Source organism: Homo sapiens, chromosome 4 (genome assembly GCF_000001405.40).
Source record: "Homo sapiens chromosome 4, GRCh38.p14 Primary Assembly".
NCBI classification, from domain to species: Eukaryota; Metazoa; Chordata; class Mammalia; order Primates; family Hominidae; genus Homo; species Homo sapiens.
Window position 1 is genome coordinate 84,312,652 of NC_000004.12, and position 12,751 is coordinate 84,325,402.

At 38.7% G+C, this 12,751-nt stretch overlaps 1 annotated feature.

The window, feature by feature from the left end:
- Nucleotides 11,787-12,751: an enhancer, noted in NCBI's record as "VISTA enhancer hs680". NCBI's record gives its function as "enhancer in: hindbrain (rhombencephalon)[6/7] | midbrain (mesencephalon)[5/7] | cranial nerve[6/7]" and the evidence as "EXISTENCE:transgenic organism evidence [ECO:0001131][PMID:17130149]".

Genomic DNA, 12,751 nt, shown 5'->3' on the forward strand with positions numbered 1-12,751 from the left:
AGCATTAAATATCACCCTCTATGATTAATTGGAAGTTAATTAAATCTATCACTGAAACAATGGGAAGGCAATGAGCTATGTAATCATTGCAATAGTAAATGAAATGATGTACAGGTCTCTCCATCTCGCTTATTGACAATGATGGAGGGGTGGCCGGCCTCGGATGCCTGGCGAGGCTTGCTGCCTGACCTCACAGGCCAGCTCTAACTTTTCACAGAGCCCAGGGACAAGGCAACTAGAAGTGTATTCCGACCATTTCTGTTGACTGAGGGAGCCTCTCTTCCAGAGGCCTCTGAAGTGTGCTTTACAAGGTTTTTCTGTCTTGAATAATCAGTAGGTTAAGGTATGGGAATGGCTGAATGAACCATGAAAATGCTGGTTGTTACCATTTCTAAGCAGCTCCAGTGAAGGCCTGGCTTCAAATGTCAGGAGCCCTCTGAACTCAATGAATAGAATGCATGTCTATTGAATATTTAATATTTTTGCCTTTATTTAAAACTTCAATATTTTCGAAGTTTTTACTTAGACCTAATGACATTTGGCCCTCATAAACCCTCATTCAATGGGAGAACTGAGAGAGGGGCTAAGTAGCCTACCTGAATTTACATAGATTATTAGTGACAGAGGTAAGTAAAGCTAATTAGAAACTAAAATGGCTAAGCAGACATAGCTAAATCCTCGGTTCCTGTTTCCAAATGTAATTTAATTTGGAGATGTGAGGACATAGAAACCCATGAGGTTTGGAATGGTAATCCTAAATTGCCAGAGTGCCAAGAATCGCCAGGATCCAGATTGGGGTACCCCAACATTGGGTGTAAATATTAATTTGGATCACAGGGTAGCTATCTAGATATTAATTTGTCTTAGTCTTCTAGGGCTACGGCAACAATATTTCACAGATTGGCTGGTTTAAACAACAGAAATTTATTTTCTCACAGTTCTGGAGGCTGAAAGTCCAAGATCAGGGTGCCAGAATGGTTGAGTTTTGGTGAGGGCTCTCTTCCTGGCTTGCAGACAGCCACCTTCTCACTGTGTCCTCACATGGTTCAGCATTCTCTTTTCATAAATCCACAGTCTATCAGTCTAGGGTCCCATCCTTATGACCTCATTTAAACTTAGTTACCTCCTAAAGACTCTTATCTCCAGATATAGTCATATTGCAGGTCAGGGCTTCAACATATGAATTTGGTGGAAGTGGGGGATATAATTCAGTGCATAGAATAATTCAAAAGCAGATCTTTAAAAATTGTCACTCCATAAGAGTTAGAAATTAGGGTAAAATTTTTATTTATATATATATATATTTTTTAATTATACTTTAAGTTCTAGGGTACGTGTGCACACCATGCAGGTTTGTTACATATGTATACATGTGCCATGTTGGTGTGCTGCACCCAGTAACTCGTCATTTACATTAAGTATGTTTCCTAATGCTATCTCTCCCCCCTCCCCCCAACCCACAACAGGACCCGGTGTATGATGTTCCCTTTCCTGTGTCCAAGTGTTCTCATTGTTCAATTCCCACCTATGAGTGAGAACATGCGGTGTTTGGTTTTTTGTCATTGTGATAGTTTGCTGAGAATGATGGTTCCAGCTTCATCCATGTCCCTACAAAGGACATGAACGCATCATATTTTATGGCTGCAGAGTATTCCATGGTGTATATGTGCCACATTTTCTTAATCCAGTCTGTCATTGTTGGACATTTGGGTTGGTTCCAAGTCTTTGCTATTATGAGTAGTGCTGCAATAAACATACATATGCATGTGTCTTTATAGCAGCATGATTTATAATCCTTTGGGTATATACCCAGTAATGGGATGGCTGGGTCAAATGGTATTTCTAGTGCTAGATCCCTGAAGAATCGCCACACTGTCTTCCACAATGGTTGAACTAGTTTACAGTCCCACCAACAGTGTAAAAGTGTTCCTATTTCTCCACATCCTCTCCAGCACCTGCTGTTTCCTGACAAACCTGACAAAAACAAGAAATCAGAAAAGGATTCCCTATTTAACAAATGGTGCTGGGAAAACTGGCTAGCCACATGTAGAAAGCTGAAACTGGATCCCTTCCTTACACCTTATACAAAAATTAATTCAAGATGGATTAAAGACTTAAATGCTATACCTAAAACCATAAAAACCCTAGAAGAAAACCTAGGCAATACCATTCAGGACTTAGGCATGGGCAAGGACTTCATGTCTAAAACACCAAAAGCAATGGCAACAAAAGCCAAAGTTGACAAATGGGATCTAATTAAACTAAAGAGCTTCTGCACAGCAAAAGAAACTATGATCAAGTGAACAGGCAACCTACAGAATGGGAGAAAAATTTTGCAATCTACTCATCTGACAAAGGGCTAATATCTAGAATCTACAACGAACTCAAACAAATTTACAAGAAAAAAACAAACAACCCCATCAAAAAGTGGGCAAAGGATATGAACAGACACTTCTCAAAAGAAGACATTTATGCAGCCAACAGACACATGAAAAAATGCTCATCATCACTGGCCATCAGAGAAATGCAAATCAAAACCACAATGAGATACCATCTCACACCAGTTAGAATGGTGATCATTAAGAAATTAGGTAAAATTTTTAAACTCTAGTCATCCAGTATTTTTAATTTTCATTTTTTCTAGATGTCACTGAGAAGAAGAGCATTTTCAGATCTAAGAATTAACTTAACATCCATCTTCCCCCCATTTATCTTCTATCTCCTCCCCTTTCTGAGGGGATAAGCCCCAAGTTCTGATGGCACGTCTCTTCTGTTTGAAGATGCTTGGCCCTGATGAGAAGCCTTTTCTTACCTTCTCAGATATTCACTGGACAAATGCGTGTACTGAGTGTTGGGGAGAGAAGGTAGCTATCAATGTGTCATGGCTGCTCATGTTCCCAAGGGACCTTTAAAAAGTCTAATGCACTCTTTGGGGATCAGTTGTAAACAGATTAATTAAATAAACATTCCTTGTCACAATCTTGAAGTTTAATACTGCTTAGGGACAAGATATTTAGGTGAACTTCTTATCTCTGGTGACCAGAGGAGATATTCATTCCTCAAAGGCATTTTTCTTTCTCTTCCTCTCCCTCCTGCTGACACACAATCAGGCCCACCTGCCCAACATCACAAACTAAATATCAAGGGCTTTAGGAAATATCACAGTGGATCTGACTTAAAAATTTCGTCCTGCTCCAGTTCCTCTCAGGAGACTTCTGGCTCATATATAGTGCAGTGACTATGAAGTATACGAACACCCAACTCAGAGGCTGTTCAAAAAGCAATTCTGGAGAAAAAATGGATGAACACACTCTGCCTCAGGGCCTTTGCACTTGTTCGCTGTGCACAGAGCACTCTTCCCTTAAATACCTGTATATCTGGTGTCCCTACCTCCTCAGGTCTTTGAGTTAGGTTTTCTCTGATGTAGAGAAAACCTTCTATCAGCCTGTCACTTTCTAACATCTTTCTCTATTTTTTCTTCAGAATACTTACTAGTCAGTACTTAACACACTCATTTATTTTTCATTCTCCTTGTCTAGAATGTCAATTCCATGAAGTCGGGGGTGTTGTCTGTTCTCATCTATATTCCTAAACTTTGCACACTACATAGCACATAATAGGTGCTTTGATAAATGAATGAATGAATGAATGAATGAATGAGCAGATTTAATGGGGCAGCACCAAGACTAAGCCAGCTATGGAAGCAAAGAACATGACAGAAGTATCTGAGTTTGTCTAGCAAGATGTATACTTCAGAATACTAAATCTCCCTGGACCACAGTTTATTTATCTATAGAAGATGCAGTTTGAAACACCTGTTTGCTTCCAGCTTTAACATTCTATGAGATATGCTTTGAATACTTTGAATTTAAAGATGATTATACAACATGCTGCCAATTTCAGGAGTCCTGATACTGAGTCAGCCAGAAGGGGCGAGGAAGGGATAGATGGAATAGCTATATTATGACTTTATTTTGAGTTCCAGAGTTCTTAAAGTTGAAGGACTAACTTCAAGCTACCCCAATTCCCTCAATACAATGGTAACTAACATTTGATGTTGCTACGTTTCTTCTGAGCCTAATCCTGGGTTTTCCCCCATCCACTGTCTTAGTCTTTTATAAAAACAACAACAACAACAAAAATTATTACATCATAAATTAAGCAAATAAGTTCAATCTAAACTTCTATTTGCAAAAAATGAATAGGATTAAAGAGAGAAAATAAATCTGAATAAAGAACTTCCCTGCAAATACTTTACATGGTAAAAAGGGCATTAAAGAGATAAATATGGGTGGCAGATTTTTAGCTCAAAGAATACCTTGGGCTAATACAAAAGCATAATTATGCTGCTGATGTCACTTCTGGTCATAATGACTTGAAGTATAGCCAAGAGAATGTTATTAAAATGATTGGAAAAGTTTTTATTTACTTATTTAAGCTTATTGACTTAAAGACCCCGGGCAAATGTACAAAATACTCATTTGAATTGCAGATTGAATCCATCAGCTAAAGTTACATATTTTTTAAGTCAAATTTGAACTCCCAAGCCATTAATTCATAGTCTTCTGCAGAGTATATGAATTAGCCTATCACAAAGATAATAATATAACATTATTGAACAACATAAAATAACTTCCTTTTATTTTCCCATAATGTCTGAGTTCCAGGTTTCCTGGCTCTCTCATAATGCCTGATGGTGCCAGAGGGCAAATACGTGTGAATTGCAGTTGCAATATGAAAAGTGACTCTGGAAAAGGCGTGTTGGGACTTTCAAGCTGATTCCTGTCGATAGCCTCTATATCAAACTGCCTCAGAGTTTAGATCAAGCAATGCTTTTCGTAGATGCCGGCATTGTCAGGTCAACACAAGATCTAAACACTGAGATGCATCTACTCTGTCTCTTAAATCAGCCCCAATAACAATAATCCTCCAAGGCAGGGTGGTGGTGAGGTGGGAACTGATCTGATTTTGCTTCATCATAAGTGTGTAGGATCCTGACTGCCTTTTACAGCAGAGAAGTGAAATACATGAGGATTGGTTCTATGACCATCCTAGCTATATAGAAAGTTACCACTTCCACTTTTGGTTCTATGATGAAAGTCAAATGGGTTTGAGCTGACAAACACTGGTGGAGAAGTTATTATGTAAGAAAGCATGACTACTTCAAAGATACCTAGAAGGAAAATAAAGATGTTTGCCTATTTCCAAGAGAAATCTTGCAGCCCTGAAGGGGTGAAGCTGACTTTGGTAGTCTCTATACTCAGTTCAGTTGAAACAAAATTGTCAAGCTATTTGACATTGTGCAGCCTCTGAATTAAATAAAGGGGGGAGGATTATGGTTCTCATGTTCAGTAGCCTAAGTAAGCATGGTATATTCAGAGTAGAAATCCAAAACAGTTTGAATTATCAGTTTTACAATGTATTTGTTTTGTGATCTCTATCCTTTGTCTAGGATTGAGTCCTTTATGCCAGAATAACCAATTTAAAAGCAGAAATTTGAGTTAAGCAACATGTTTTTCTGTTTGATGCCAAACAATTAATGTGACTTGATATTTGACTGAATTGACACAGGCATTTAATGTCATATTGACATAGTCATTATCCCCTGTTCTGATTTATCTATTAGGAAAACAAAGATAACAAATGATGTCCAAGCTTTTGCTCAGCTACGTAACATCTATGAGCTCTACAATCGCTTTTAACATTCATCCTTTTCACAGGCATTAATTTTCTCAGAGATTGAAAGGCAACAGAAAGTGGTTAAGAGAAAGGGCTGTGAAGTCAGCCAGACCTGAATTGAGATAGTGGCTCTGCCACTAATTAGATATAGTGAGCAAGCTACTTACCCTATTGGAGCCTCAGTTTTCTCATTTCTAATATGGAATGATAATATAGCTGCATCATAGGATTGTGGTGAGAAATAAATAAAATAATGCACAGAAGGCACTTATTATGGTACTAGGAACATAATGAAGGTTAACTATTTTAATTAAATAAAAGTTATTTAAAAATCACAAAATCGGCTGAGCATGGTGGGTCACGACTGTAATCCCAGCACTTTGAGAGGCTGAGGTGGGCAGATCACCTGGGGTCAGGAGTTCGAGACAAGCCTGGCCAAACCCAGTCTCCACTAAAAATACAAAAATTAGCTGGGCATGGTTGTGGTTGCCTGTAATCCCAGTTACTCAGGAGGCTGAGACAGGAGAATCACTTGAACCCAGGAGGCAGAGGGTGCAATGAGCCGAGATGCACCACTGCACTCCAGCCTGGATGACAGAGCAAGACTCTGTCTCAAAAAAAAAAAAAAAAATCACAAAATCAATGCAAAAAATATCATCTTCAAGTATTAGTTAATAAGTTTACATTTTAATAAAAAATGTTCAAAGAAATTTACGCTGAATATATAAGTAGACTCTCATGGAATTTTAATATTTTCATGAAATGAAAGACTGAAGGTCTATAAAATTTGCCTTCTGTGAAAACATCAGAAAGTTTCCCCAGCCTGCCACACTTCAATCTCAGGAAAAAATTTAAATTCTCAACTATGGCAAGTACTGAAGGGGTAAATATTCTTACTCCCAGGGAAGCTAAGACCATTAAAATTACTTCATTCAGGACTCTCCTCCCAAGAGCTAACTGAGCAGCACTTCTAGGTCCTGCCAACAGAATGACGCCAGGCTGATGTCGCAACACAATAACTCTAGGTTCATGAAGTGGGTAGTCCTAGTTTTGTGCTGTTTTGTTTTCTTAGGTTGTTTTGCTTTCCAGTGTGATGAGAAAATGCGGATCAAATATGATCCTGCTGGGAACTGTTAAAGCTCTCCACTGTCCAAGTTAGGAAGGCTCCTGGAATATGCTGTCTCCCGCCAAGCCCACCGGCTTTTAACCCATTTGTGTCAGAAGTTACAGGTTGGTGGTGCTCCAAAGTAGGCTCAGTGGGCAAGAGGGAGAGCTGGGTCATAGCCCTCATAGGGACTCTCTTCCTGTGGATGTTTTCTGCAATGCTTGGAGTCAGAAAAGAGAATATTTGAGTCGACAAACCCCTGGCTTTATGGGGCATATAGACAAATTCTAACCCTCTCACTCTGCTTCTTAAACAAAGCAGTCAACTGTGATACAGACTCTCCTTACAGTGTGGTGAGTCACAAGGTTAGAGTCAGAAAACCTAGGTTCAAATCCTGGCTCTGGCCAATCTCCAGCTATAAACACTAGGTATATGATTTAAGTCTCTCTCTGAGCCTCCGTTTCCTGAGATAACACATATAAGTGTTTAACATAGTATATAGTTATAGCAAACATTAAAGAAATATTTGTCTCTGTTACCATTACTATTACTACTATTCCATCTAAGAAGAAAAAAAATAATTTTTTCTGGCCCATTCACAAAGATAGTGCCAAGCAAGCTTTCATGTGGCTTATTTTTTTTTTCAGGTCGGTCTTAATTTAAAAGGTTCTCATCATGGAGATAGTACTCAGAGACTGGCATAAGGCAGAACCACAGAGATTTACTCTCAAATACATCTTTATAGCTTCATCACCATAATACCTAGGCATTCATGTGGACAACATCATTTCATCATAAATGAGAAGGTCGTCCTATTGAACTGTAATCCATTCATTGATTTATGGTCCCAAGTTCCTCCAAGGATTTTCACAAATGCCTGTGATGATTCCTAGTGCTGGACTTTGCATTTGGATCTGTGATTTAGATGACAGATGCGTGAAATCATATGTAGCCAGACAAATCCCTGGTGATAACACATTTGAGGGGGCTCAAGAAGTGATGGATTAAGGCCCAATCAACCAGATCAGCTAATCTGAGCCCTCTTCAGTGACGTTGGCCCTGATGGTTTAAAGGGGCACCCCAAACAAATTACTTTCCAGAAATAATACTTTCTGTTCTGCATCTCGCCCTATCATAACTTCCTTTTCCACAATAAACCAGGACACCATTAAAGAAGCCCTGTCTAATTCTAGAGAATATATTGTTATGTCTGGGATTAACATTTGCCACAGTTGACTGGTTAACATTACTTTTAAAATCTCATATTCCAAGTAGTAATTGGATTATTAATATGGTCGATTTGACTGGCAGTAACCATTTGGAAAGTCTGACAATGTAGAATTTACAAAGCCAAAGACTTGATAACAGCTTCTTAGATGCTAACGAATTCACTTCAAAGAAACTCAGCAGCTCACAGTCAGAAGATACCAAAAATCAAGGCTTCTTCCAGGAAGAAAGTATAGTAACACAAGAATTAGACTCTGAAGATTTACCTAAGGGTAAACCTTTTGATGCCATGTATAGCATTACTTTCAAAATAGATTATCTCACATACATTTTTATGGAAACAGGAAGGAAGCAAGAAAAATCATGCTTTAGCATAGGTGTAAAGGAATATAACACAAGCCAAAGAGCTATAATAAAAGAAAAAGCAAAGAATGTTCTGAACTTCTCTACAAAGATCTCTCTAATGCTTTGCAACTCCTGCACCACCTCAGTGGTGCTCCCATTTAATTTCATCAAAGGAAGGCTTGAATGCATTACTATTCTGTCCCTTTTCTGAGCCTCCCTTTATTTTATTTTATTTTACTTTCATACAATATTGTTAATAATTTTCTCCTTTTTATAATTGAAATTTTATTTTAGATTAGAGGGTATATGTGCATGTTTGTTACATGGATATATTGCATGACATTGAGGTTTGGGGTACAAATGATTCTATCACCCAGATAGTGAGCATACTTAATAGGTAGTTTCAGCCTTTGTCCTCCTCCCTCTCTCCTCACTCTAGTAGTCCCTAATGTCTATCAATCCCATCATTATGTCCAAGTGTACCCAATGCTTAGTTTCCACTTATAAATAAGAACATGTGGTATTTGGTTTTCCATTCCCGTATTAATTCACTTAGGATAATGGCCTCCAGCTGCATCCATGTTGCTGCAAAGGACATAATTTTGTTCTTTTTTACAGCTGCATAGTATTCCATGGTAGTCCATGTGGTACATATACCACATTTCTTCTTTATCCAATCCACTGCTGATGGGCAATTAGGTTGATTCCATGTCTTTGCTATTGTGAATACTGTTGCAATGAACCAATGACTACATGTATATTTTTGGCAGAATGATTTATATTCCTTTGGATATATACCCAGTAATGAGATTGCTCTGTTGAATGGTAGTTCTGCTTTAAGTTTTTTGATGAATCTCCAAACTGCTTTCCACAGTGGTTGAACCAATTTGCATTCCCACCAACAGTGTATAAGTGTTCCCTTTTCTCCACAGACTTTTTAATAATAGCCATTCTGACTGGTGTGAGATGATATCTCACTGTGGTTTTGATTTGCATTTATCTGATAATTAGTGATGTTGAGCATTTTTTCATATGTTTCTTGACCTCTTGTATGTCCTCTTTTGAGAAGTGTCTGCTCATGTCTTTTGCCCACTTTTCAATGAAGTTATTTGGTTTTTGTTTGTTGAATTGTTTAAGTTCCTTATAGATGCTGGATATTAGACCTTTGTTGGATGCATAGTTTATGAATATTTTCTTCCTTCCTATAGGTTCTCTGTTTACTCTGTTGATAGCTTCTTTTACTGTACAAAAGCTCTTTAGTGTAAGTAGGTCCCACTCGTCAATTTTTATTTTTGTTGCAATTGCTTTTGAGGACTTAGTCATAAATTCTTTCCTAGGCCAATGTCCACAATGGTGTTTCCTAGGTTTTCTTCTTCTAGGATTCTTAAGAGTTTGAGGTCTTGCATTTAAATCTTTAATCCATCTTGAGTTTAATCCATTTGCACACCCAATACTTTTATAACCTTTGAATAATTTCATAATAAAACTCACCTACCTATGTTTTATACAGAAAAAATGTGTCTGTGTGTGTGTATGTGTTTTTGTATATGGTGAAAAGTAGGAGTTCAATTTCATTCTTCTGCATATGGTTAGTTAGTTATCCCAGCATCATTTATTGAATAGGGAGTCCTTTCCCCGTTTCTTATTTTTGTCAAATATCAGATGACTGTAGGTGTGTGAGAGCTGCTTTTTAAAGTCTTGCTCTCAGCATCAACTTTAAACAAGTTTTTTTTTCTTTTCCATTATTGAAGTGCTATCGAAAATAGCTTCTGGCACTTACCAATGTATGCCATAGGTGGGCTTCTAAGCATGCTTTGGATAATCGAGAACTTATTTGTAATAAGAATCTAACCCCCCTTTAAAAACAGTCCCGCCTTATAGTGAATTATTTTCTCTGCTGAAAAGCACTAAAACAAGCTTTTAGCAGGATGTTTCCAACAGCAGAACCTAACTTTAATAGCTGCATTGTACCCCTCTTTCCTCATCCCATTCCTGGTACCAAAAATAAAAAACAGTCAATAGTGTAGCTGTGAAACTGAATGCTGGCCCACATACCCAAAAGCAGTCAGAATAAACTATACAGAAATCAGGCAGTGGCAAGGAGAACATAATGTACTCTCACTCCCCTTTATCCTTTTGCAGGAACCTCTGCGGGCTTCTTCGAGTTTGTAGGAAAGCAATATATATCTGTATTCTAATGATAAGACAATACTAAAAATAAAAAAGCATTGGCTGGAAGCAAGAGTAGAAATATGAAGGAAAAAAAGTAAAATTTACAAATCAAGTAGCATTGTTTCAGATTAACTTTTTTAATAGCATGACCTAATCCAGGGGTCTGCAAACTACAGCCCAAAGACCAAATCCAGTCTGCCACCTCTTCAGCGACCATTGGTTTACTTATTGTCTACAGCTGCTTTTGTCCTACAACTGCAGAATTGAGAAGTTATAACAGATACAATATGGCACACAAAGCCTGAAGTACTTACTATCTGGCCCTTTATAGAAAGAGTCTGTCAACCTGTTATCTAAACTTCAGAAGAGGACTCAGAGTATTTAGAAATTAACTTACACTTGCACACCCAATACTTTTATAGCCTTTGAATAATTTCATAATAAAACTCACCTACCTATGTTTCACATGGAAAAAATGTGTCTGTGTGTGTGTGTTGTGTATATGAACACAAATTTGAGGGATGCCTTAAAATAAAATATAAAAGACATTTGCTATGAGACTTTCCTGAATAATTGGAGGTTTGGCATATGCAGAGTCAGCTGTAGTATAATTGAAAGATTCAACTCAAAACCAAGAGATTAAAAAAATAGAGATGAGACACAGTTAGACCCCCACAGACAAGTCACTTAGCCCCCACTTCCTCACCTCTAGGATGGGAACCCTGATGCCTCCCGTTCAAGCTTGTGTAAATCAAATGAAATTATCTATGTGCAAATCCTTTGTTAAGCCATAAATTACACAAATATATGTTGTGGTTATTAGGCAGCATCTTGAATGCTTTCCATAAAAATGCCATTCTGAGCAAGAATATCACAGTCAACTGAGGCATGTGGTTGCCATCCTCCCCACTCCACATGAACTCTCCATGTTACATCAAAGCACCATTGCAAAGAAAGCATCATTTAGAATTAAGAAGTCTGACACCAAGAGTCAGCACATAAAATGCTCTGGTTCAGGTCTACATCTGGAGTAATTCCAAAATAATCATCATAGAAGTTTGCCATTTTCTCCTACCTATCATTTGTGGTTCATCTGATGGCATTTCTATACCTGACATTTCCTGCCCTAGCTGTTTGCAGCTTCTTTCATACCTGTCTTCCTTCACTCCTCTCTCTCTCTCTGTTTGCAGCTTCGTTCATACCTGTCTTCCTTCACTCCTCTCTCTCTTTCTCTACTGTCCCCTTTCATCCCCACCCCAGGCCCCTTTAATCCTCTTCTCATTTCTAATGCTGAAGGCCCTTTGAGAAAGGGGGAGGGGAGGAAAACAAAAGGTTAATTTTCTCCAGCCTGCCCAGGCCAACTTAATGTAACAGAAGGCAGCAAATTGTATTGATTTAGTGACATGCAACTGTCCAGAAAGAGCTATTTATACATTATTCAGGACAAACACTGTCATAATGGACAAACAGCAGCAGCATCTGGGATGTTAATGTCTACAAATAAGATTATTCTTTGAAAGGATTAGGATGAAGCATTTTGTGTAATTAGATTTCTCCGTTTCAGGAATGAATTGCCTTTTAGCAGTAAAAGCTGTCACTGAGGGAGCCATTAGCTCCTTATAACTGAATTAAATGCATAATTAGTGACATGATCACATTAGGATTTGTTTCATTTTTAACTAATCGGGGTGGGGGGAGGGGCCGAGGGAGAGTTGGGGAGCAGAGGCGGTGCCATTTCCAGGTCACTGCGGCCTTCCTCAGCTGGGATAGGCCTCAGCTGGCGTGCTGAAGTTGGTAAAAGTCAGGCGTGTGTGAATCAGAGCCCGGGCCTCGCCACGGCGACGGCCAGGCTATTCATCACTGGGTGGTGGGTGACAGTGACTGATGGGCTAGGCCCGGGCCTGGCACTTCACCAGTGCAAGAATCATACGAGCCAGGGAGCAGAAAGACAGCTGGAGCGCTGTGTCAAGTGGTGGAGAGACCAGAGCTATTAATAATGTGTGCCACATGATCTCAGCCTCAAGAAAACAATGATTTAGACATTGGTGAGAATAAAGATTTTACATTTAGTCCGGGGGTGACTCTTCTCCTTGGCACTTGTAGAATAAATCGCTATGCAATCAGCATGTATGAAAATCAAGCAGTGCATATATTAGAGCCTAGCTCATGAGGAAGGGGAGCATGGGTGGGGATTTTTAAATCCTTGCATTGACTACATGTGCT